Source organism: Homo sapiens, chromosome 1 (assembly GCF_000001405.40).
Source record: "Homo sapiens chromosome 1, GRCh38.p14 Primary Assembly".
In the NCBI taxonomy this organism is placed as follows: Eukaryota; Metazoa; Chordata; class Mammalia; order Primates; family Hominidae; genus Homo; species Homo sapiens.
Window position 1 is genome coordinate 20,486,211 of NC_000001.11, and position 24,899 is coordinate 20,511,109.

General features: G+C 50.1%; 1 protein-coding gene across 2 annotated transcripts, besides 3 other annotated features; it reads right to left on the reverse strand.

Moving 5' to 3' along the window:
* Positions 9,490–10,689: an enhancer, noted in NCBI's record as "P300/CBP strongly-dependent group 1 enhancer chr1:20822193-20823392 (GRCh37/hg19 assembly coordinates)". NCBI's record gives its function as "activates an origin of replication core promoter dependent on BRD2, BRD4, P300/CBP, MED14 and CDK7 cofactors, with strong dependence on P300/CBP, by STARR-seq in HCT116 cells {active_cell/tissue: HCT116}" and the evidence as "EXISTENCE:reporter gene assay evidence [ECO:0000049][PMID:35650434]".
* On the reverse strand, positions 13,238–21,941 carry MUL1 (mitochondrial E3 ubiquitin protein ligase 1). Of its 2 annotated transcripts, none has more exons than NM_024544.3 (4): positions 21,695–21,941; positions 17,012–17,099; positions 15,859–15,979; positions 13,238–15,209 (listed from the first exon to the last, which is right to left on the reverse strand). In NM_024544.3, the coding sequence occupies exons 1-4, from the start codon at positions 21,812–21,814 to the stop codon at positions 14,480–14,482; spliced, it is 1,059 nt and encodes a 352-aa protein (NP_078820.2). In that variant the 5' UTR covers positions 21,815–21,941; the 3' UTR covers positions 13,238–14,479. The 2 variants fall into 2 exon arrangements, with proteins under 2 accessions (NP_078820.2, XP_011540439.1); XM_011542137.3 differs by having other exon boundaries at positions 21,314–21,941.
* Positions 21,270–22,269: an enhancer, noted in NCBI's record as "H3K27ac-H3K4me1 hESC enhancer chr1:20833973-20834972 (GRCh37/hg19 assembly coordinates)". NCBI's record gives its function as "activates a minimal SCP1, AML or CMV promoter by ChIP-STARR-seq in primed H9 embryonic stem cells {active_cell/tissue: H9 hESC(primed)}" and the evidence as "EXISTENCE:reporter gene assay evidence [ECO:0000049][PMID:30033119]".
* Positions 21,485–21,974: an enhancer, noted in NCBI's record as "active region_322". NCBI's record gives its function as "activates an Ori minimal core promoter by ATAC-STARR-seq in GM12878 lymphoblastoid cells {active_cell/tissue: GM12878}" and the evidence as "EXISTENCE:reporter gene assay evidence [ECO:0000049][PMID:35858748]".

Sequence of the window (24,899 nt, forward strand, 5' to 3'; positions counted from 1 at the left end):
GCCGGCCGCGGCGCCGAGGCGAGGCGCGGGGAGGAGGGCGGGAGGAGGCGGGGAGGAGGGGACCCGCGGGCCTCGGGGAGAGATCCCTGCGAGCGGAGCGACGTCACGGGGCCGCGCCGGCCGGCCCGGGCTGCCGCTAGCTTCCTGCCCCCGCCCCCAGCCCCCGCCGTCCCGCTCACGGGTGTTTACGGGGCCCGGAGCTGGTGCGCGCCCGCCCCGCAGCCGGCTTTGCCTCCCGAGGGGACCTCGGGGGGAGTGGGGGTTCCGGGAGCTGGAGAGGGAGCGGACAGACGACGCACACGCGGGGAAGGGCGGAAGCATGCTGACCCCCCTGGGGGGCAGATGCTGCGGGGCAAAGATCGGAGGGCTCCAGGGCGACCCGCGGACATAGCCTCCCCCGCCATCTGCAAACCGGGGAGCCCTTCCTCCCCACCACACTTGCTCCCCAATTCAGACCCTGAGGGCCCAGCCACTGGGGCCTCACACTCTCCTCCCGCCCCGGCTCAGTCCGACCTGGAAGGCCTCACTCCCCCACGCCCCCGCCCAACTGCGCTGGACTCCGGCTCCCGCAGGGCCTCCAGGAGGGGGAGGGGGAGAGGGAAGGGGCAGCCCCGCCTCCCGCAGGAGAAGGGAGCGCCTCATTACGCCGGGCTCGCCCGGGATGCCTGGCTCCCGGCGTCCGCTGCCTCCGCTGGGGACGTCCCGGGTCTGCCGCCCTCTGCCCTCGGGGGTCTCCCTTCCAGCAACAGCCGTGCGCCCTGTGGAGAGACTATGGCCTCTGAGAGGAGGAGCGGGCTCCTCGATGCCGGGAGGGAGACTGGGGCAGCCCCAGAGGCCTGGGAGGCGCATCTGCCAAGCAGATGGTAACTCCGAGGGGGCAAGGTGCATGAGGAGCGCTCATTATCCTCGCCGGAGCCAACAGCACCTGCCCTCCGCTGGAGACCGTCTTTGCTTAGTAGAGCCGGCCTGACCACAGGGAGGGGCAACCACCCCAAGGTCATGCCAGCTGCTGGAGGCAGGGCTAGGAAACACATCCAGGTGGCCCAGGTGAGTCTCACCTGGCTCATCCTGCTGCCCTGCAAGGGGTCCCATCAACAGTGAAAGGAGCTCTCCCCTCCTATCTAGAACTCTGGCGGGTGGGAGCTGGAGGCAGAAGGGGAAGGTTTTTTCCTGGTATAACATCTGGTGGAGGGGGGAGTCAGTCCAGCCCCCTCTCCAAACGGTGTAAAAGGATTGGCTGGCCTCGGGAAGCCAGAATCCATGGGGGGAGGAGGAAGGGAGCAGAGAAAAGGGAGACTGAAGCAATGTGGCAGGTGGAATAAGCATGTCCCTTGGATTTAGGTCTGGGTTTGAATCCCAACCCCGTGGTTTGCTGACTGTGTGACCCTGGGTGGGTCATCTCTCCTCTCTGAGCTTCCATGGTCTCAGCTGTCAAATGGGTATATGGCTAGCCAGTACCTGTGTACCCTGCAGGACAGTTATGAAAACAAAAATAAAATCAGGCTCTGATGCCTGGCTGAGAGTGGATGTGCAATAGACATTTGAGAGATGACTTAATGAGTGAGAAAGAACGGTAGCACTTCATTTGTTTCCATTTCAGGACCACATGAGCTGGGAGAATCCTTAGAGATGAGCTGGGCCTATCCCTCATTTCCATATGGGGAAACAGAAGTCCAGAGGGCCAGGGGCTAGCCCCAAATCCCACAGTTTGTCGATGGCAGAAGCCTCAGGTCCCCAGACTGACCTTGTTCCTCTCCACAAGCCACCTGGCTCATTCATTAGGACTTTCCCAAGTGCCTGCTTTGAGGTTAGTGCCAAAGCCAAGTGCTAAGAGAGAAAACAAGAGCGTAACAAGCAGGATGATAAAGTTCCAAGAAGCGCTGACATTTGTCCCCTTTCTTATTTTCCTCCAACGCATTTTCACATCTATTATTGACCTTGCTTCTCAAAATAAATACCTTTTGAGGTAGAAAGAGGAGACGTTGCATCCCTGTTTAACTGACATAGCAGAAAGAGGATAAGTGACTTGCCCAAGGTCACAGCCTAGTGATAGAGCCAGGAGAAGCCACTGTGGCCAGCCCTGATTCCGTAGGGGACTCCCTGCAGTGGTGACAGCATACAGGGCTGGGACCACCCCATTCATCTCACATCCGCCTGGCTCCTTCCTTGCTGCTGAGAGGCACAAAGCAATTTACACGCTGAGCACCTACGACAGTCCCACTGCACAGAAGGTAAGCAGAAAGACCCAGCGAGGACTGACGAATCCCTGCACACACAGCAAGTGAGAGCAAGAAGAGAAGTCCAATTTCCACCCCATCTGTTTTTATGTTTACCTTGCCTTGTTCCAAATAAGGTTAAAGGTGACAGCATCCCATGTTCCCAACTCAGTACCCACCCCCTTCAGGAAGCACACGCGCCTCCCAGCACATGGTGCTTGACAGCTTGAAAAGCATCTCCATGACTATTCGCTCATTAATCGCTAAGCTTCGGAAGTGGAGGGGACTGGGACTGTCAGGCCCATTTCACAGACAAGGTGCCTGAAGGTGGAGTGATGTCCCCAGGGTCACACAGAAGTTCTGCAAGGGCAAATTGCGAATCAGTATGGCTTTCCTCCACCTCCATTCCTCCCACTTGTCTTTATCACAAAGGCCTCACTCAGTCCTCCGTTCCTTCCAGCATTTGGTGGGGGCATCTCTTCATCTTGAAGTCAACACATGTGCTGGGACTCCATTCCTACCTGTTTACACTCATTCCCCAAAGCCAAGAGGCTGGCTCTGAACCAGAGGCCCAGAGCTGTGTTGAGGAGGCCAGACCCAGGTGAAGGAACCTAATAAGGCAGGAATGAAGGCTTCCCTCCCCACCTCCCCACAAGGAAGCCTGGCAGTACATGGTCTGGGGCAGTAGTCTAGGATGAAGAGCCCACTGGGGCAGTCAAGTTCAAAGCCCTGGTTGGGCGTGGTGGCTCACACCTATAATCCCAGTACTTTGGGAGGCTGAGGCAGTCGGATTGCTTGAGTGTAGGAGTTGTAGACCAGCCTGGGCAATATAGTGAGACCCTCATCTCTACAAAAAATTTAAAAAGGAATCGGGCATGGTGGGGCACACTTGTGATCCCAGCTACTCGGGAGGCTGATCAGGGAGGATTGTTTGAGCCAGGGAAATTGAAGCTGCAGTGAGCCATGATTGCACCACTGCATTCCAGCATGGACAACAGAGCGAGACGCCATCTCAAAAAAAAAAGTTCAAAGCCCTGCTCGGTCATTTCCTAGGTCTGTGATCCTTTCACTCTCTGTGCCTAAGTTTTTTCATCTGTCAAATTGGCATAAGAATCATTATTACTTGGTGGTTTATTGTGGGGAGGAGATCATACACACACCACGCCTAGCACAGAATCAGTCCTCAATAAAAGTGGTTGTTATTATTTGCTATAGGCTTTCTTTGTGGCTTTGAAAAAGCTGCCTCTGACTCTACATCATCCAATGGGAAACCTGGAGAAGATCACATCTTTTCAGCGGCAAAACCAGTTTTCCCAAATCCAAAGTAGATAAAACCTGCTTGAAGCAAAGGTGGGGGTCCTAGGGCCTTACTCCAGCTTCCCCCTGAAACTTCATCTGAAACTCCTTCACCAAACCCCAGGACTCTAGAAATAAGAACCACAGGACCAGGCCATCTCCATGGACCCTTTCAGCACAGACATTCCAGGATCAAAAATAAGTATTTGATAGCCCAGACTGTGCACCGAGCCCCACACTCAAGCTGGTGGGATAAGAAAGGGGAAGGTCAGCCCCAGCAGGGCCCAGCACAGAAGGGAGGCTCAGCACACATCAGTTTCCCCTTGATCTCGTCTCCTCCCTCCAATCCAGATGGGGAAACTGAGGCACAGGCAGCGGCATCAGACAGTGATGGCAAGACGTAGAGAAGAACGTGGCTGTGGGACAGCCCAGCCCAGGCCTCTGTGCCTGCCTTCTGGGCTCGGTTCCTTCACCTGGGCATTGGATGGCAGGCCAAGCCCAGGCTCCCGTAGAGATGGGGTGCTGGGAATGCTGAGGTTTGCCAGGGCCGGCTCAGACCCTAAACTGTCAGCAGGAAAGGCCAGGGGGTGATGCCCTCTCAATAGCCAGCTGGTCACCTCAGGAGAGGCTAAGTGGCCATCCAGCAGGGAACCACCACTCTGAGCCAGAGTTGGATAAAAACCCAAGTCCCCGCCACCCCTCTCAGCTCAGTGACTGGAACCTGGGTTGCAGCCACTTCCCTTCCCTACCCTCCTTGAAAGGCAGGGCCTCTGCCCCCGTCCCCGCCTCGTCCACACACACACACACACACACACACACACACACACACACACACACACACACGGTGAGAGACGAGCACACGGGCCGACTGGAGGTAGCTTAGATCCAGAATCAAGGAATGTTAAGAGAAGGATTCATTCATTCAGCAAACACTTGTTGAGGACTTCTGTGGCAGACACAACCCTGCCCCCAATACAACTCAAAGGGTGTTAACTTATTTGTCTGTCTAATCACTAAGACCCTCTCTCCAAATAAAATCTTACAAGGAAATTCAGTAGATGAAACTTAGACAAAGGATAAGCTGATGGGGTCACAAGAGTCAGAACCCCACCTTCTGGGCCCTCCATCCCCCAGCTGGTCTCCAACGGTCTCCAAAGAGCCCCCAAAGCCCTGCCAGGCTCGGTGTGAAACCACCGCCAGAGCTCATCTAGTCTAACTCCTCACGTGACAGCTGGGGAAACTGAGGCCCAGCCAGGGAATGGTAAAACACAGGCTTCCTCACTCCGTTTCACATTCCTGCCACCCTGACACGACATGTGTCACACTTGGAGTCGCAAAAGAGAGGGAAGTTCCAGCAATGAGCGATCAGTCACAAAAGCTCATTTTTTCTGACAATGAAGTTTGGGGTGTTTCTTTAAAATAAAATACAAAGATCACAGGGTCATTGTTTAAAGTTTTTATTGCACCAACAACCTACAGAATGAGAGTCTCATGGGCTCTTCAGGAAAATGTAAAAAACCATGAGGAGAGCTGGGAGGGGCTTAGGAGCCAAGCCTCAACAGGGCATGGGAGGGGGTAAGGCCACCAAGGTGCCTGACCCTGCCCCCTGCCTGTGCGCCCCCCATCCCCATCATTCCACGTCAGCAGTGCGTGAGGACCAATGGCATGGGGCCGGGCAGGGGACTCTGGGCTTGGAGCTCTGAGGGAGAAATTCTGTCTACAACTCCCAGCCCAGACTTAGCTGGTGGGAGGTGCTGGGGCTCTGGGCGTCCTGGAAAATTCTCACTGCCTCTCAAGCCCGGACAGGGAGGAGAGAACAGCAGACAGACCTGGCACAATCAGACTTTTACAACCACAGGAGTGTGTCCTGGGGGGCAGGTAAGGGAAGGTATGACTTTAACCCCAATGGGCAGATGGTGAAACTGAGGCTCAAGAGGTTTGGAAACATGGCCGGGCTCCAAAGCCCAGGCTCTGAAAACATCACATGGCCTATCAGGTTTCTCCTGCCCAGGGGTCCGAAGAAGCTAGAAGTCCCCCTAACTAAGCAGCCCCTGACTTCAGCAGAGCAATGAACTGAGCCAAACTGTGGCCACTAAAGGGGGCTAAGGAGGAGCTGACCCCACCCCAGTTCAGAAGGGGCAGCCACTGCCCTCTGATTCCAAATTCAATAGCCACCCCCAGTCATTACTGAGAGCCTGCCATAGAAGGTGGCTTGTGACTGCCACATCTATACCACGAAGGAGGGCTCTGAGGCCAGAAAAGTTCACAGATGAGCCCAAAACCACACAGCCAATAGGAGGCAGCAGTTCGGATGCCAGAGGCCGGCTCGCCACTGTTGGGTGGCACTGCCTCCCTGAGCAGGCCCGGGGCCAGGAAAGCCCAGCAAACCTCTTCTAGTCCCTACACCTCAGCCTAGCCACAGAAACAGAGTGGGCGTAGATTAGAGTCCAAAGCTCTCACACACTGAGGACCCCTTCGGGAATCTGATGAAAGAGACAATTCTCTTTCCCAGAAGCAGAACATTGCATAAACAATTTCCAGGGGATCGCTGAACCCCAAAGAGCCCTCACATGAAAAAGTCAGGGCTGGATCCTCAAGTGGCATTACAGCATCCCCCACCAGTGTTCCGTGACAACAGAAGAGCTCTTTACTCCTTAAGCTAAGAGGTGCCAGGACCGACTGAGGAGGCCCCCAGATCTGGGTCAGACCTGTGATGGCTCCATTATGATCAGAGGGATGCGGCCCCTCACTGCTGAGCCCAGGATCCCACCGAGAAGCCTGGCTGTGCAGGTCTCTGGACCCCAGTTCCCAAGCACTGCATTCAAGCACTTTCCCACTCGATGGATGTGAGGTATTTAACGTCCATGATAGCCCTGTGAAGTGGGCAGGACGCAGCAGGGATACTTTCCTACTGTGTGGTGGGAAAAGTGAGTCCCACATAAGGAAGATGAGCTGCTCAACTGGAGACAGAGCCACCAGCACTGAGACCAGGCCTCCCAAGAACCAGTGCAGCACCCTGCTCACTGAATCCCATGAAAAGCCAGTTAAACGAGGGTAGACCCAGAGACCTGAGTTCAATCCCAGCTCCACCCCCTCCAACCTGTGTGGTCTTGAGGCAGTTACTCCACTCTCTGAGCCAGAATCCCTCTGTGCCATAAAATGAGTGGGACAAGATCAGCCTCAAAGGGAGATTGTGGGGCTCAAATGAGTTGCAGACTGAGTCATTACGGTGAGAGCAAGGGACAGCTCCAGCAGTGAGTCCCACGGCCCAGAGCCTCCTACGGCCTTCAGGAGAGGAGAAGAGGGTCTCTTCTTCCTAGGAAGCGACTTCCTACGTAATAGGGAGAATAGAAGACTACAGAGCCACCGGTGCATGGTCACAGAGGCCCTCCCCATCCAGCCCTGCCAGGTCCTGGGCTGGACATGGCAGAGGACAATCTGATCGGGAAGGCAGGTGCTAGGGACAGGTGAAAACGAGACTTGCAGAAATTGGCAGAAACAGAATCCAAGAGACTAAAAACAATCTCAAAGAAGGAGACAGATCCCCACACAGGGGAAGAAACCCTTCCACAGGCTCCAAGGCAGGAGACAAACTGGGCAGACAAGAAGCAGAACTTCCAATTAAAGTAGGGGACAGAGGAAGAGAGGAAGCAGAAGACGGGGAAGTGAGAAGGCAGAGAGAGAAGCCGGAAGCACAGGAGAAAGCACGAGGCAGTGAAGAGAGCTGGCCAGGCTGGAGAAGCAGAATTTCTCCACGGAGGAAAATCTTCTGGGGAGAAAAATCAAAATCTGTGCCATACAATTTTTTTTCAAGCATCCTTTCCCAGTGTGAAGTCATTTGCATATTTTAAGAACATGCAATGCATTATGCATATCTCGTTTTTGTTTAAAGAAATTATGGTTAGTATATTTAAAGATGTGAATGCCTGGGAAATTACAGGGGAGAAATGTGGGATTTTTGGTCCCCCCTGAATTTTCTGGGTTTCTCAAAACTTTCACATCTGCAGCCAGCTCCCTAGTGAGTTGGGCCGACAAAGGAGGAAATTGAAGAGACTGCTTCGCCCTTTCCGGGCTGTTCCCAGCTGGCCCTGGGATCAGGAGGCCAGCGTCCTCCTCAGAGTCTGCTCTCTGACTTCCAAGGCCTGTTCCCCATCCCTTGGGGAAGGGAAAATTGCACAGGCCTTTGGAAGCACAACCTGTTTGTCCTCCAAGTCCTCCAGCCCTCCTCGACCATAGAGACATAGCGCCACCTGGAGGGCATTGTGGAGACTGCAGCATTAGGAGGGGCTGGGGAAGGAAGGAAATGAGGAAATGAAGATGAGCGATTTGTTGCAAGCACGCGTGGAGCACAGCCCAGTAACTAGGAATGCAGGAAGCACCTTTAATAGCTAGGGAAGACGGTGAGGGGATGGAGCCTGCAATTATGGTCATCTGGACATTAACATTAGTACGACCTCGTTTGTACCCCCCTCCCAGGCCTAGGGAGCATTCGGGTTACAGATGCAAGGTGCCTGGCCCACTCAGCGCTTAATAAATGTTTGTTGAGTTCGGCTGTGGCCCCCCAGAGTCATGGCCCAATGGCAGCAGCAGCAGCACGTGGCCACAAAATGTTGATGTGACGTCCCTAATGAGGAGCAATGGCTCCAGCAGGGACTAAGGGTTAAGAGCAGGAGATGAGGGGCTTCACCCAGACTGGCTCAGCGCCCCCTGCCCCACACCAGTGGCACTGGCTCAGCCTCACGTGCTCCAGTCTCAGGGAAGGGAAATGCCAAGTCCCTCGCTGGCATCTGGAAAACAATAAGGCAGCTGCAGGGGAAGTGACTAATGAGCACTTCAGGGAGCAATTCAGGACAGCACACATGGAAACTGATCTCATTCAAAATTGATCAGTTAACACTATCTAATTAGAGAGAAAATGTGCTGAGCACCCGGCTTTCTGGGAGCACGGTCTGGAGGCTGTGGCACCCAGCTAGCCTGCAGAGGAGCCACATCTCATCTCTCAGACCAGCTCCAGGACTGTCCTCCCTAGTCCCTCACCCATGCTGCCTCTCATAGACATGCAAAATAGAGCTGAACAGAGGAGAGCTTCTAATCCAGCTTGCTCCTTTCATAGACAGAACTAAGGCCCAGAGAGGTTAAATCACTTGATCAAGATCACACAGCAATGGAGCAGGACCAGAGAGAAAGCCAGTCACTGGGCTCCCAGTCAAGACCATTTATCACCATCCGGTGACACTGCCCTGACTTTCCTGTGTGGAGTCCTCAAAGCTCTGGACAGGTCACTGGACATGGCGTTCCTCCTGTACAGTTCATCCATCATAGCTCCCAGGTCCTAAAAGGGGGGCTGCCCTCACTCCTTACAATCACCACTTTCATCTGTGGTCCAAAAACCAGCTCCTCTAGGCAGTCTTCCAGGATTGTTTCGCCCACACCTACTATTTCATTCATGGGTTGACTCATTCATTCCATGTACATTCTGTAGTTAAGAGCTTGGGCTCTGGAGTCAGACTGCCTGGGTTTAAGTCCCATCCCTCTTGTGCACTTGGGCAAGACACTTGACCTCTCTGGGCCTCTGTTTCCTTTTATTTAAGAATAATACAAACACATTCCTCCGTACCTCGCAAGTGAGGACCGGAAGGGTTCATTATGTACTGCACTTCTCAGGGTACCTAGCAAATAGTGAGCCCTGATGTGAGTTCTAATTAGTCTGCACTGACAACCCAGAATTTGTGCTGGAGAAGGAAAAGTTATGAGACAGTCCCCGCCCAAGACATTGACAATATGGCTAAGAGCAGGAATCGAGATTTGAGACTCTTATTATGGAATCTCAGAGGAGGGATACCTAACCCAGCCTAGGTGGGGAGGGACAGGGAAGATTTTCCCTGGAGGACACACCTAAAGCTGAGTGTTAAAGGTGAATCGATCTTAGCAAGGTGAAGAAAGGACCAGCATTCCAGATCAGGAATTCATGTGAGCAAAGACAGACAACAGCATGGCATGGGGTTCTATTTGTTTTTATTTGTTTTTTGGAGTTAGGGTCTCACTCTGTTGCCCAGGCTGGAGTGCTGTGGCATGATTACAGCTCACTGCAACCTCAATCTCCTGGGCTCAAGCCATCCTCCTACCTCAGTCTCCTGAGTGGCTGGGACTACAGGTGTGTACCACCATGGTCAGCTTTGTTTTTATTTTTTGTAGAGAAAGTGTCCTGCTATGTTGTCCAGGCTCATCTCAAATTCTACTTCCTAGCCTCAAGTGATCCTCCTGCCTTGGCCTCCCAAAGTGCTGGGATTACAGGCGGGAGCTACTGCCTGGCCAGCATGGCATGTTTAAGGAAACTCAACAGTTCAATGTTGTTGGAGTCACAAGTATGAGACTGAAAGGGATGCAGGAAACTGTGGGGAGGTGGCCAGGGTCAGGGTCATGCAGGGCTTCTCATGCCATGGAAGAGCCAGGACACGATGTTGCAGATGGCAGAGAACCTGGAGGTGAACTTGAAGCAGAGGCGGGACATGGCGAGGTTGGTGGTTTAAACAGATCATTCTCGACTCTGTGGGGTATGTTTTCTCTGCTTCCCTTCAGCAATGATACCACCCTTGGTTGGTTGATCGCTAATGGTCATGGAATGTGCTCTAACCAGGCCTGTCACAAAGCCTCCTTTCAAGTCCTATATTCTGTGAACCACGAATGTTCCCGACAACTGAGTCACCATACCTGTTGATATGGTTTGGATCTGAGTCACCATACCTGTTGATATGGTTTGGATCTGAGTCACCATACATGTTGATATGGTTTGGATCTCATGTCGAATTGTAATCGTCAGTGTCAGAGGTGGGGCCTGGTAGTAGGTGATGGGATCGTGGGGGCAAAGTTCTCATGAATGGGTTAACACCACCCTCTCAGCGCTGTTCTCATGATAGTGAGTGAGTGATGTGAGAGCTGGTTGTTTAAGCGTGTAGCATCTCCCTCCACTTCCTCCTGCTCCGGCCATATGAAGTGCTTCTCCCCCTTGCCTTCTGCCACGACTGAAACCTCCCTGAGGCCTCCCCAGAAGCGGAGCAGCAGCTGCTATGCTTCCTGTACAGCCTGCAGAACCGTGAACCAATTAAACCTCTTTTCTTTATGAACTACCCAGTCTCAGGTATTTCTTTCTAGCAGAGTGAGAAGGGACTAATACACCTGTCAAACAGGGTTTACTCCTGTTCAAACAACTCAGATCCTTTGAAACAACTCTGAGCCCTTTGCAGGCACAGACTGTCTTATTCATCTTGTATTTCCAGGCACAAAATACACATTCAGCAAATGTTTGTTGGGTGAATAAATGCCCATCCATGAGCCGGGTGCGGTGGGGCACACCTGTAATCCCAGTACTTTAGGAGGCTGAGGCAGGTGGATCACATGAGGTCAGGAGTTGGAGACCAGCTGACCAACATGGTGAAACCCCGTCTCTACTAAACAAAAAATTAGCCAGGCGTGGTGGCGCATACCTGTAATCCCAGCTACTTGGGAAGCTGAGGCAGGAGAATTGCTTGAACCCAGGAGGTAGAGGTTGCAGCGAGCCGAGGTCATGCCACTGCACTCCACCCTGGGCAATGAGAGCGAAACTCCGTCTCAAAATATAAATGCCCATCCATGATACCAACTTTGAGCATTCCAGAGGCCCTGTGGGACCATCAGCATCCATCCCCCAACTGGAGTTGTCATGGCCTATGATCACGGCTGCAGAGGGTGTCAGAGTGGCTAGTTTGTCATGTTATTGTTTGCTTTTTAATTTTCCCACAGGTTGTTGCTTTTTAGATTTTCCATTAGAATTCTGAATGAAATTGGATTCCAAAGACTGCCTTCCAGCCCCCATCCACTAGATCAGCTGGGGATGTGATTGGTTCTTCCCGAGGTGCTGCTCGGCTTGTAAAATGCTGTGTATTTATGGTAATACTAAGTTGTCTCATGGACAACTTCCCTTTTTAGCCTCCCAGGCCTCGTGATAAAAAGCAAAGATTGCAGGTTTTATAGTCAGATCGCGGTAGCCTTGAACAAGTCACATAACCTGTAAAAGGGTGATGTGGCATCCCTTGCTGGTTTGCTATATTAGAAACAATACCTGTGAAGAGCCTGACATTGCTGGGCTTGTGAGGACGTGTGGATGTAGGCAAGATGTAACCCCACTGGGCCCCACTAATTGGAGGCAACAATATCCACTGCATAGGGCCACACTAATGCAAATGAAGTGCCTGGCACGGACAGTCAGAACACCAGCAGCAATTATTCAAGATGATTCCTGCCCAACGCTGGCTGCCTGGGAGTAAAGTGACTGAGCACAGGGGTGATTTAGGGGAGACTCAAAATTCATCATCATCCCATGGTCAGTTCAGAACTGACTTCCTGCTTCCCCTTTTCTCTGTCATCCCTCCTGCCAGCCTTGGTTCCACACATCCATTTAGGACCCATGCAAACCTCCTGGAGATTAGGCTCCTAAAATAGGTGGGAACGGCCAGTGACAGCTGAAGTAGAATATGGGACAGTCTCAGTCCCCGGCAGGATAGGACCAAGCAGGGCCCTCGCACCCAGGGGGTCCAGGCACATGCCAGCTTCCTGAGGCAGGGGCCGTGTGCCGGTCCTGGGTCTCCCACGACAGGGAGCTCAGCTGGGAAGCTCAGTGGGGAAGAACACTCGGTATGAATTGGAATTCCAATTCCAATTCATGAATTGGAATGTCCAAGATTGAGGTGGGCTAGGGAAAGCAGCCTACCTGCTCCTTTTTAATCTCTTTGATCAGATTTCCCCACAAAAGATATGCCAAGGGCTGAACTCAGATAGCTTACCATGCAAATCCCCCTAGGCCACTTCATTCACCTTCTGTTACAAGCTAAGCGCCAGAAGGACGATGAAAAGGGGACAGAGGCTTTCAAGGTGCGCAAAGAGGCCATTCCCATCAGGGGCCTGTCACCTTGCCCCACCCTCCAGCACCTTGTGTAAAACCAACGTCTTCGTACTTCACTGGACGGACTCAATATTGGCAAGTGGATTCTTACCCCAACTTTTGCCTGTTCCTCTAGTGTGGCCACCAGTTCTCCTCTATGGACTTGGGGAACACATCTCTTGTGAGTGTTCCTGTTAGCACTGAGGAATTCACTGGCCCCACACTGGTGAGAAGGATGAGGACTTTAGAAATAGCTTGGGGTTTAAATTCAGTCAGACCCGGGACTTGCTGTATCTGTGCCCTCAGCCCAGTGAATGTACCCTCTGGGCCTACTTCCTCACCTGTACAGCACAGACACCGGGACTCGGCCTGCAGGGGTTTTGTGAGGATGAACTCACTCTGAAATGAGTTTGAAACAGCACACGGCACAGTACCTCATACACAGTATTGCTAAATGCTCATTTCCTCTCTGCTGTCCCCCAGCACCCCATCCCCATCCCATTCTCCCAGCAGGTGAAATCTCACTGCCCTGATTTGTAGGCTGTCGGGACAGACTTCAAAGATGGTCAGCAAGGCCAGATATGACCCACGGGTGGGCTGTCCAGATTCCTCCCCAGGGGGCAGGCATCCCGGCCGGCCTCTGCATCACCCCATCTGGGGGAGCCCCAAACCACTATAGCCGAGGAAAAGAACACAGAGGCCTCAAACTCCCCCACCTTTCACTCCATTGTGGCAGGGATTCAATCCCATCCTGGGGACACTTAGGCTTAGCCATTTAACTCCTGTTAACAAAGCAACAGGCTAGCACTTGGTTGCAACATGTTTAATTTCTGCTGTTCACACTGGACACTGCATCATACTAGTGTCGGCCCCTGAGGGCACCCCTTCCTCGCCTGCACAAAGGAGGACGAGAGATGAACATTCAGAGGCAGAAAAGGGCAATAAAAAAAGAGCTGTGTATGTGACCTCCAACTACTCAGAGGTGGGGGAAAACAGCCCCATCTGTCTTGCACTAAAAGGCTCACCAAGGGCAGGTGAGGGGCAAATGGTAATACTGGGAGGGGGTAACACAAGGAGAAGCGACATGAGTACACCAAGATGTCAAAGCTGCGACGGGCTGGATGAGGGAGCCCCAAGAGGGCATATGCTCAGGGTGCCAGCCGGCTGCTTTTCCTTGTGACAGCCTTGCAAGGAAGCTGTGAGGCCAGGACACTAGGCCAGTGGCATCCACACTGCGTCCTTCAGGAGGCGAGGCCTCTGCGCCTCATTCTCCAGGAGGGAAAACCAGGGACCACCCCGAGCTCTCCCAAGTGGCAGGAGTTCAAATCAGGGCCAGTGGCGAAACCAGGAGGCCTGCCTGACCAACTGCCCTTCACATGATCTCTCTTCAATCTGTTGCCCGGGGCCCCGACCATCTGGGCAGAAGCGGATGTGCTGACTTCACTTTCTTTTGTCCTCTACACACACGTGCAGGCGTTAAGGAGGCAAGCAGGTGAGGGGAAAGGAACACAAGTTGACCTGCCCAGCCTGACAATTCTGAAGAAAGACTGTTTCCCGGGGCATGAGGAAAAAGAAGAAAAGCTGCGGCAGAGTCTCTTCGGAGGCAGCACCCAAGGCATCCGTTGTACTCGGGGCCCAGCCTTTCCTCCCCTCTGAGTCCTCCACCAAGTCCACAGCAAGCAACGATTCACCAGAAAAAAACAGAAGACACAGGAACAGAAGAGCTGCTGATCACTGGCTTTGGTGCTTAAGTGATGAGGCATTTTCAGTCACACTCGCACTGATCTGGCTCCTGGGAGGAGACGCCACGGCATCCTCCCAGGGTGAGGCTCTGATGAGGCTGCACATGGACAGGGTCCCCTCTCAGGTGGGAAAGGCAGCATCCTGCCATTGGAGGCATGGGTCTGGAGAGTTTCTACCCAATTCCTCCCTCAATCATACCTGGAGGTGACAGCTACCCCCACCACTGCTCCTCCAAAGGCCTCGAGATAAAAATCCCTGAAAAGGGGGCAGGGGTGCTTCCAGGTCAAGCTGTGCGGCTTCCAAACTATTAGCTGTTGTACAGGGGTATCACCCGGGTGATCGCCTGTCTGCAGATAGGGCACTTCTTGGGCTCTGGCAAGGCGCGGTAGCACTCGGTGCAGGAACAAACGTGCCCACACTCCAGAAAGACGCAGGACTTGAAGCTGCTCAGACACACTACACAGGCGCTCTTCAGACTCTCCCTGTCCTCAGGCTTGGCTCGGCTCAGCAGCTGGGCCTCATGCTCCTGGAACTCCTCCTGCATCTGCTTGAGGCGCAGGCGCTCCTGCCGCTGCAGATACTGCTTCCGGAGAATGAAGAAGAGGGTGGCACATGTGGCAAAGCCAAAAACCAGCGCCAGCACCTTCCAGAGCCTGACGCTCGACTCCTGCCTCTGCAGCAGGCTGTCGAAGTCCTGGCTGCTTAGATAGTACTGCATGCCTTGTTTGGGCGGCTGCAGGCGGACAGAGTTGTTGTCCAGGACCAGTTCGCCAACCCCTGTGAGGGTGGCCCCCACCTTCAGCATCTCCTCGGTCTCTTGGATGCCTTTGGGCCGCTCACCGCTGATGTAGTGGCCGATGACATCGGTGAAGGACTGAATCGAGGGGTGGAACTTCTCATACACAGTCTCTAGACCCAGATCCACTGAGTCCAGGGGCTTCAGCACTCGCACAGCCACATCCACGCCATCCTCGTGGGGCACCAGGTCAAAGGGCACTGTGTTGGTCCTCTGATGAATGATCTTTGAGCAATCATTCCTAGAAGAATAAGAGAACTAAAGATACAGGGTAGCAAACAGCAAACACCCAGGCAGAACTGGAGATCAACTAAATGTGGAGGACAGCATATGGTCTGAAGTAACTGGAAGAAGACAGTAAGATCACTATCTCCAGTTGCCTCCTAACAAGGAGGCTCCATTTGTAGGTCCTGGGGCGATATCAGTGGGCAACAAATAACCGCCACAGACTATCATTTCCCTTTCCACTGTAAAACAAACATCTAAAACAAAACTCACTAGGACCAGTTGGAAAACTGATATTTCATATGATGGCACAAAAGCATTTTAGGAAATACTGAAATCACTGATTCAGTGGTTCTCAAACTTCAGTGTGCCTAACAACAGATTCCAGGTCCCTGATCCTGGAAATTCTGGTTGGATAAGTCACCAGGGACTGACTTATCCACTTCAGGGACTGAAGGGAGCTCAGAAATCTGCATTTCAACAAGATGCCTCGGTGATTCCGACATAGGAGGCCCACAGGCTACACACAAGAATATGACCTGCATTAAGAGACTGGGCTTCAACCTGTCTCAGGAGAAGCTGAAGTCACGGCAACAGCACCCAGGACCCCAGCATTTGAATAGACCAACTGCAAGGGTTTTGGCCAGTGGAGAAGTGATACATACCAAAGGTGGGTGGTTCGATTCCACACCATCTTGTGCTCCTGAAGTGTCAGCCGCTGAATTACCCCCTTGCAGTTTTCCACAAACTGGCTGTTAAGCGTTTCTTTAACAGACCGCACAGCTCCTAAGTGGACACAAATTCTATTATTTCTGAAGAAGTTTTCTGCCCTCTCCTTTCAGATAATTTAAAATGTGTTTTCTGGTCTGGCACAGTAGGTCACACCTATAATCCCAACACTTTGGGAAGCCAAGTCAGAAGGATCACTTGGGGCCACGAGTTTGAGACCAGCCTGGTTAACACAGTGAGATTCCATCTTTACAAAAAATTAAAAAGTTAGCAGGGTGTGGTGGCATGTGCCTGTAGTCCCAGATACTTGGGAGGCTGAGGCAGGAGAATCACTTGAGCTCAGGAGTTTGAGGCTGCAGTGAGCTATGATCACACCACCATACTACAGCTACCTGGGTGACAGAGCCAAGACTCTATTTGAGACGGAGTCTCACTCTGTTACCCAGGCTGGAGTACAGTGGTGCAATCTTGGCTCACTGCAACCTCCGCCTCCCGGGTTCAAGCAATTCTCCTGCCTCAGCCCCCCGAGTAGCTGGGATTACGGGTATGTGCCACCACATCCAGCTAATTTTTGTATTTTTAGTAGAGACGGGGTTTCATCATGTCGACCAGGCTGGTCTCAAACTCCTGAGCTCAAGTGATCAGCCCATCTCAGCCTCCCAAAGTGCTGGGATTACAGGCATGAGCTACCACACCTGGCCTCAAAAAAAAATTTTTTTTTTAATTTAAAAAATGTTAAAAATTAAGTGTTTTCAGTTGACTTTTGCTAATTCATCAAAACAATGACATTCTGATCACCATAAGTCACATTTTAGAAGCACTCTCCTAAGCACTTTGCATGGATCACATAATTTGTCTTATAACAACCCCATAAAGGTAAGTATTATTTTCGAGATCAGGCAACAGTGGTTCAGGGAGGTTTGGTAATCTTAGCGATCACAAAGCAATAACCCATGTCTTTCTGACCCCAAAGTATGTTCTGGACCATGGACCCAACACCACAAAAGGCTCTTCATATTAGCCAAGATGATCTTTATCAATCTTTTGGGAAAAAGACGTTGTTTTCCATTGACCAATAAGCAAACATACCTTCTATAACAGCATAAGGCACGCATTTTCCTGGAGCTTCTGAAAGAATACTCTTTAAATCTTCACCCAAATGAACTTTTTTAGCTCCCTAAATAAAAAAAAAAAATTAAATTAATTGGCCATTGAACACTGACATGCTCAATCAAACTTACAGGCAAAAAAAAGAAAAAGATTCTATTTTTTTCGTGTCAAGAGAATATGGAAATTGGACAGGAAGGTGACTACTGAGAATCAGATTTCAAAGCTGTGTACATCAACAGGAATGGAGCCATGCCTCTGCCTCTTCCATCACTGCAGAATGGGGGTGCCACATACATTCTTGTTCCAGTTAACCAAAACCTATACTCCTTTTCATGTTAAGACTTTTTAGTGAAAATATAAAAGGTACTAGTCAATTTACATACCACAGACTGAACATCATTCAATCTCTTCCTGACAACACAGAGCTATGATCCAAAGGGTTCAGGTATAAAGTACCTAACCTATCACCTAGCACATGGCAGTGGTTTGAGAACTGGTAGGTGTTATTATTAATATTACCACATCTTTACGAACCAATGCTCTGCATTGTATGTTATTAAAAAAACAAAGCAGGGGGAGTTGCCTTTGCTTCAACAGGAAGACTGTTAACTGGTGCCAAATGCCATTCTACATTTTTTTTTTTTTTTGAGATGGGGTCTCACTGTTATACCCAGACTGGAGTGCAGTAGTGCAATCATGGCTCACTGCAGCCTCAACCTCCCAGGCTCAAGTGATCCTCCCACCTCAGGCCCCCAAGTTGCTGAGGCCATAGGCATGCACCACCACACCTGTCTAATTTTTTTATTTTGCAGAGACAGGGTCTCCCAATGTTGCCCAGGCTGGTGTTGAGCTCCTGAGCTCAAGCGATCCTCCTGCCTCGGCCTCCCAAAGTGCTGGGATTACGGGTGTGAGCCACCGCACCCAGTCTGTTCTACTTTTTGCCTTTTTCATGCTCATAATTAAGTGAGCACGGTTCTTTCTGCTGCTGTCTTCCTCTAACAATCCCTAGTTCTCCTCTGCCTTCCAACTCAGAGCGTCCAACCCACTGCACTTGGGAAACCAATCCTGTTACTGCTGTTTCAAAAATAAGAGAAAAGGAATAAAATCAACAATCATTTCCTGAGCATCTTTGTGCCAGGCACTGTGCTGGGTGTCAGAGATTCAGGACGAATAAAGGACCATCTCTGCTTTCAGGGTATTCCCAAAAACAACTCTTAAGGATGCCAGATTCAGTAACCTCTAAAGAGGTGATGTGATACAAGATGTATATGAAGGTCACTCTGAGTTTAAGCTACTGCTACACAGTAAGTGACAGGAGCAAGGTCAATCAAAATTTCTTAGCCACTTACACTGTGAAGATACCAAAATGACAGCAATAACAACTAACAATTTACTCATTATCTGTCTCCCTCCACTAGAATGTTAAACTCTAGGAGGGCTTGGACACTGTTTGTCCTGTTCACTGCTATCCCCCTAGTGCGGAGAACTGTGCCTGACACACAGCAAGCATTTAATACATTATTTGATTAATAAATTAATGAATAAGTAAGCATTTAAATATACTATGTACCAGGCAATATGCTAGGCACTTTAAATGCATAAACCACTTAATGCCCACACCATCCCTTTACGGTAGACATTATTATCACCAATTACAGACAAGGAAACAGGCTCAGAGAGGTGAAGTGATTTGCCCAAAGTGAGACAGCTAGTAAAGTATCCACCACAGGATGGCCAATTCGAATTTTAAAGGGGGAAGAGGGAGAATATGATCAGAAAGATCTGGAGTTTAATCTAGCGCCAATGCATCCACTGTGACTTGGGACAACTTCATTTATCTGAGTCTCAGGTTCCAAAACCATAAAGGACAGGGAAAATGCAATTTCACAGGATTTTTATGTGGGTTAAATGAACTTCAAGGTGTGAAAGAATCCAGCCCGGGGGCTGGCACATAGGAGGCACGCAATAAATTTGCATTCTCCTCACTATGAGAGATACACAGGATAGGACACAAGCCCCTCTCTGGAAGTTTTGTCATCTGATCAAGAAAATAGAATCTAGGACAGGCATGGTAGCTCACACCTGTAATCCCAGCACTTTGGGAGTCCAAAGTGGGATAGCTGCTTGAGGCCAGCAGTGCAAAACTAGCATGAGCAACATGCAAGACCCCATCTCTATGAAAAATAAAAAATTAGCTGGAGGTGGTGGTGTGCACCTGTAGTCCTAGCTACTTAGGAGGCTGAGGCAGGAGACTGGCATGGGCCTGGGAGCTCGAGGCTGCAATGAGCTATGTTTGTGCCACTGCACTCCAGCCTGGGCAACAGAGTAAGACCATGTCTCAAAAAAAAAAAAAAAAAAAAAAAAGAAGAGGAAAAAGAAAAAAAGAAAGAAGAAAGAAATGAAGGACAGGAAGGAAGGCCAAAGAGAAAGAAAAGGAAGGAAGGGAGGGAGAAAGAGAGGAAGGAAATAGAAAATAGAATCTAAAATATTAACAGTCCCAACTTTTTTTCCAGGAAGGGGCTATTTCATCCTCATTTAGGAACTGTTTGGCAAAGGTTTTAAGGTCACCCAAAGATGAGACCTAAAGAGTTCACTGCTTCAAAGAAGCCCTCCTCCAGCCAACTTGAGGCCAAAGTGGTTTGGAGTCAGAAAGTGAAGTATCAGATACACAGAGCTAATCACTTCAGGATTAACTTGATTATTTAATCAGGAGAAATACAGGGCAGCTGGAATCTCACTATAACGCCACTGCACAGCAAATCCAATTGCCTCATAACTTGGTTCTTTCCAGATTCCAAAACTCCCTTCATGGCAGGGACTGGAGTTCACACATTGGTTTCTTTTTTTTCTGAGATGGAGTCCTGCTCTTGTCACCCAGGCTGGAGTAGCCTGGCCCACACATTAGTTTCTAAACCCTTACTGAAAACAATCTGATAATTAAGTTAGTCAGGTTTAGGAATCCATCTTTCATATAAACATCAAATTAGGTTAGGCCCTTAGCTCTTGTATTGTGAAACTTCAGCCAAAAAGAACCCACAAACATTTACTGAGCATCTACCACTTGCCAAGTACTGTGTTAGAAGCTAGAGGAAAGAGAATGGATGAATAAGACCCTGTCTCTGACCTAAAGAGGTCCATCTCTCTGGACCAGTCAGATAGTCACAATAAAGCAATGTCAATCAGATTAAAATCCTACCCTTGGAATCAAAAGACCTAAATTTAAGTTTCAAGCTGACTAGCTGTATGGCCTTTCCTCCAAATCTCAATTTTCTGATTTGCAATGTGGTGGTAACTGTCATTTTATTTACTTCAAAAAATTATTGTGGGCCAGGCGCAGTGGCTCACGCCTGTAATCCCAGCACTTTGGGAGGCTGAGACAGAGGGATCACCTGAAGTCAGGAGTTGGAGACCAGCCTGGCCAACATGGCAAAACCCCATCTCTACTAAAAATACAAAAATTAGCCAGGCGTGGTGGCAGGTACCTGTAATCCCAGCTACTCCGGAGGCTGAGGCAGGAAAATCACTTGAACGCGGGAGGCAGAGGTTGCAGTGAGCCAAGATCGTGCCATTGCACTCCAGCCTGGGCAACAGAGCGAGACTCCGTCTCAAAAAAAAAAAGAAAAAGAAAAAGAAAAGAAAAGGAGAGGAAAGAAAGGAAAAAAAATTATTGTTAAGAAAAAAATAAAATCAAGATGAAAATGTGGCTGGGCGCAGTGGCTCACGCCTTTACATCCCAACGCTTCGGAGAGCCGAGGCGGGGAGATCACCCGACGTCAGGAGCTGGAGACCAGCCTGGCCAACATGGTGAAACCCTGTGTCTACTAAAATACAAAAAAGTTAGCTGGGCGTGGTAATCCCAGCTACTCGGGAGGCTGAAGCAGGAGAATCACTTGAACCCGGGAGGCAGGGGCTGCAGTGAGCCCAGATCCCGCCACTGCACTCCAGCCTGGGCGACACAGCAAGACTCCATCTCGAAAAAATAAAAAATAAAAATAAATGCAAATGTGTTGTGTAAACCGTAAAGCACAGTTCAGAAAAAAGCGCCATTTATAAAAATAGTTGTAATATAAAAAGGAAGCGTCTGTAAAGCAAGGAGTGGAGTGGTTCAGTAAATGGATGTCTGCACTTGCTGTTCCTTCCATCTCCCGCTAGATATCTGCATGACTCCCCTCATCTCCTCCTAGGCTCTGCTCAAATGTCACCTTATTTAAGATAGGAGATCCCCCTTTCTCCAGCATTCCATGTCCTCTCTCCCCTACCTTACTCTAAAGCATTGCTCACCATCTGTTACACCGCCTGATTTACATGTTTGCTGTCTAGTCGTACTAAAATGGTATCTCCACGAGGGGATGGACTTTCATCTGTTCGACTCACTGCCTGGAGCATCGCAGGTGTTCAATAAATATTTTTCGAGTAAAGTAATGAAGTCAAGATTCATTCTGAGTCATAAGAGGGACTTGGGAGAAAAGGAGCGGAGCAGCCGTTATCCCGAGCCCGAATCCTGCCCCTCGCTCCTCCATCTACTGGCTGGATGACACCCTTCAGAGGCTGTTTCCTTTTTTGGACAGTTTCCGACGGTGGGGCGGCCAAGGTGAATCATGGGCTCCCCAGCACCTGGGACAGAGATGACCCGGCTGAGGCCAGGCCGGCTCCAGCACTGACCTTGAGCTCTTGGGAGACCCGGGCCTTCTGCCGGTACACGGAGTACAGGGCGGCGGTGACCACAGAGGTGGTGCCCAGGAGGATGAACTGGCACAGCGAGGGCCGCCCTCCGCTCTCCATGACGGCGGCGAGCCCCGGTGGCCGACTGTGGCGCCAAGGATAGGCCTGGTGACCCCCGACTCTCCACCTCCTTCCGACCAGGACCGCACCCCCCCGGCCTAACCTGACCGGAAACTCGAAATCAGTCGCCCAGCGATGACGCACGACGCCGGAACCGGAAGCGGGGCAAGGGGTTGTAGAGGGAACCGGAAGGTGGGGTTGCCCGGGTGACAATCAAGCTGCTGCGGCCTCCAGGGAGGTCCTGTCTCCCCAGCCGGGTGTCGGAGAGCGATTGGGGAGCTGAGCGACCACCCACCGCTCCATGGCCGTCCCCTTCGAAACACGGCGCACTGGCCATGACTGACTCGCCCATCGCCCTGGTTTCCGTCCCTCTGGTTTCCTGGGGTTACTGGGCTGTTTGATGGGTTATTCCATGTCTTCGCCATTAGATTGGCAGGAAATAAAATAATTGTGTATTAAACTCTTATGAGTAATATACGTTTAAGTTTCAGAGCAAACTCTCAAGACTTGGAATTTATTCTGGCCACTTTACAGATGAGAAAAGTGAGGCCATAGAGGTTAGGGAATGATGTGCTCGAAGTCTAGTGAGTGCTAGAGAGGAATTCACCCAACTCCAAAGCCCTCAACTCTACCCCAGGAGGGCAGATTATATCACCAAAGTAGCCCCTTAATCTGCCATCACCACATAGAACAACATATTTATTAAATAATAATTACGGCTACGCTTAGTGCCTATTATGTGTCAGGTTCGAGGCGGGGGAGGTTTTGCAGGCACCATCCCACTGAACCTTCACAACACAGCTATAATGCAGATTACCGATAAAGAAACTGAGGCTCAGGTAAGTAACTTGCTCAAGGTTATACAGCTAAAAGCAATAGGTATGGCCATAAAACCCAGGGGATCCTTCTCAGAGACTGTTCCCTGATCTCTGTAATGCATCTCCTTTCTAAAATAATCGGAGATAACCCAAATCTTTCTTCTAAACATCAGCATTCATTGAGCTATCTCCTACAGGTTATGCTTTAATTTTTTTATTTGTTTGAGACAGGGTCTTGCTCTGTCGCCCAGGCTGGAGTGCAGTGGTGCAATCATAGCTCCCTGCAGCCTCCCACCCCGCAATCCTCCCACCTCAGCCTCCCCAGTAGTTAGGACTAAAGATGCATGCCACCCCCGGCTAATTTTTTAAAAAATTTTTTGTAGAGTCAAGGTCTCACTATGTTGGCCATGCTGGTCTGGAACTCCTGGGCTCAAGTGATCCTCCTGACTTGCCTTCCCAAAGTGCTGGGATTACAGGCGTGAGTCACCACACCAAGCCTAAATTCTTGTATTTTCATGTTTACATGTATAAGTATTTATGTAGGGAGAATTTCTAGAGGTAGAATTGCTAGGTCAATGGGTGTTGGCACCATTAATCTTGATCAACATTGTCTAATTTTTCTCCATAATGTCCAATTTTACATTTATGAGCAATATGTGGGAATTTCTTTTCTTTTTTTCTGGAGACAGAGTCTCGCTCTGTAGCCCAGGCTGGAGTGCAGTGGCGTGATCTCGGCTCAGTGCAACTTCCGCCTCCCAAGTTAAGTGATTCTCGTGCCTCAGCCTCCCAAGTAGCTGGGACTACAGGCGTGCACCACCACGCCTAGCTAATTTTTGTATTTTTGGTAGAGACAAGGTTTCACCATATTGGCCAGACTGGTCTTGAACTCCTGACCTCAAGTGATTCGCCCGCCTTGGCCTCCCAAAGTATTGGGATTACAGGAGTAAGCCACTGCGCCTGGCCGGGAATCTCTTTTCACCCACACTTTTGCTAACAAACTTTTTGACAAGTTCTATTAAAAATTTAAGGTTAGACCTCATTTTAAGTTTGTGTGTGTGTGTGTTTACCAAATTCATGATCATCCCTTGGGTTGAAAATCATCAAAGATATCTCACAGTGTTAACAATCTAATGATTCTAGCCCTATTCTTATAGAAAGTAATTCTTATTTGACCCCAATTGTATTTAAGGAATGGAGTTAAAAACTGTTATATATAACAGGCTGATTTAATAAAGAAATTTTACTTTTGTGGAGCAGTCTACAGTTTTTAGATACATCATCTGTAGTTTTTAGACACATCTTACCTAGTGGCCTGATTCAATGTATGTAAAACGTGTCCCTCCAGGCCCAACATTGTTTTTAATAACAAAATAATGAAAGTAAACTAAATGTTATCAATAGTCAGTTGGTTGAGTAAATTTTTTAAATATGTGTATGTGTGCATAGTCAGGTGAAACAGCAAACTGCAAAACTAAAGAGGAACCCCGTTTATTTTTAAAAGGAGAGAGAAGAGTATACTATATATATTGCATGTCTCCAGAAGGATTCACAAAAAGCTGATAATAATTGGTTCTTTCCATAGAAGGGAATGGGGTGGCTAGAGAACAGAGAAGGTGACTTTTCACTCTGTTGTATCTTTTGAGTGTGAATGTACAGCATATTTTGAATTAATAAAACTAGAATTTAAAAAAAAAATGGCCAGGCGAGGTGGCTCACGCCTGTAATCCCAGCACTGTAGGAGGCCGAAGCAGGTGGATCACCTGAGGTCAGGAGTTCGAGACCAGCCTGGCCAACATGGTGGAATCCCGTCTCTACTAAAAATACAAAAAATTAGCTGGGCATGGCCAAGCGCTGTGGCTCACGCCTGTAATCCCAGCACTTTGGGAGGCGGAGGCGGGCAGATTGCCTGAAGTCGGGAGGTCGGGAGTTCGAGACCAGTCTGACCAACATAGACAAACCCCGTCTCTACTAAAAATACAAAATTAGCCAGGCTTGGTGGCACATGCCTATAATCCGAGCTACTTGGGAGGCTGAGGCAGGAGAATCACTTGAACCCAGGAGGCGCAGGTTGCAGTGAGCTGAGATAGCGCCATTGCACTCCAGCCTGGGCAACAGAGTGAGACTCCATCTCAAAAAAAAAAAAAAAAAAAAAAAGAGCATGCTATTTACTTCACAACCAACAATTACAGAGAGCCTCCTACATCCAAGGTTCTAGGCTGGGCATTAGGAGATACACCTTATATAGCCAGCCTCTTCCCTCTGACTGG

Bases quoted from the DNA above. Each gene is read 5' to 3' on its own strand.
- MUL1 (NM_024544.3), bottom strand. From the start codon at position 21,814: ATGGAGAGCGGAGGGCGGCCCTCGCTGTGCCAGTTCATCCTCCTGGGC. The intron at 17,100-21,694 runs GTCAGTGCTGGA...TTTTTTATTTAG, and splicing joins GGGTCTCCCAAGAGCTCAAG to GGAGCTAAAAAAGTTCATTT. The intron at 15,980-17,011 runs GTATGTTTGCTT...GTGTCCACTTAG, and splicing joins GCCTTATGCTGTTATAGAAG to GAGCTGTGCGGTCTGTTAAA.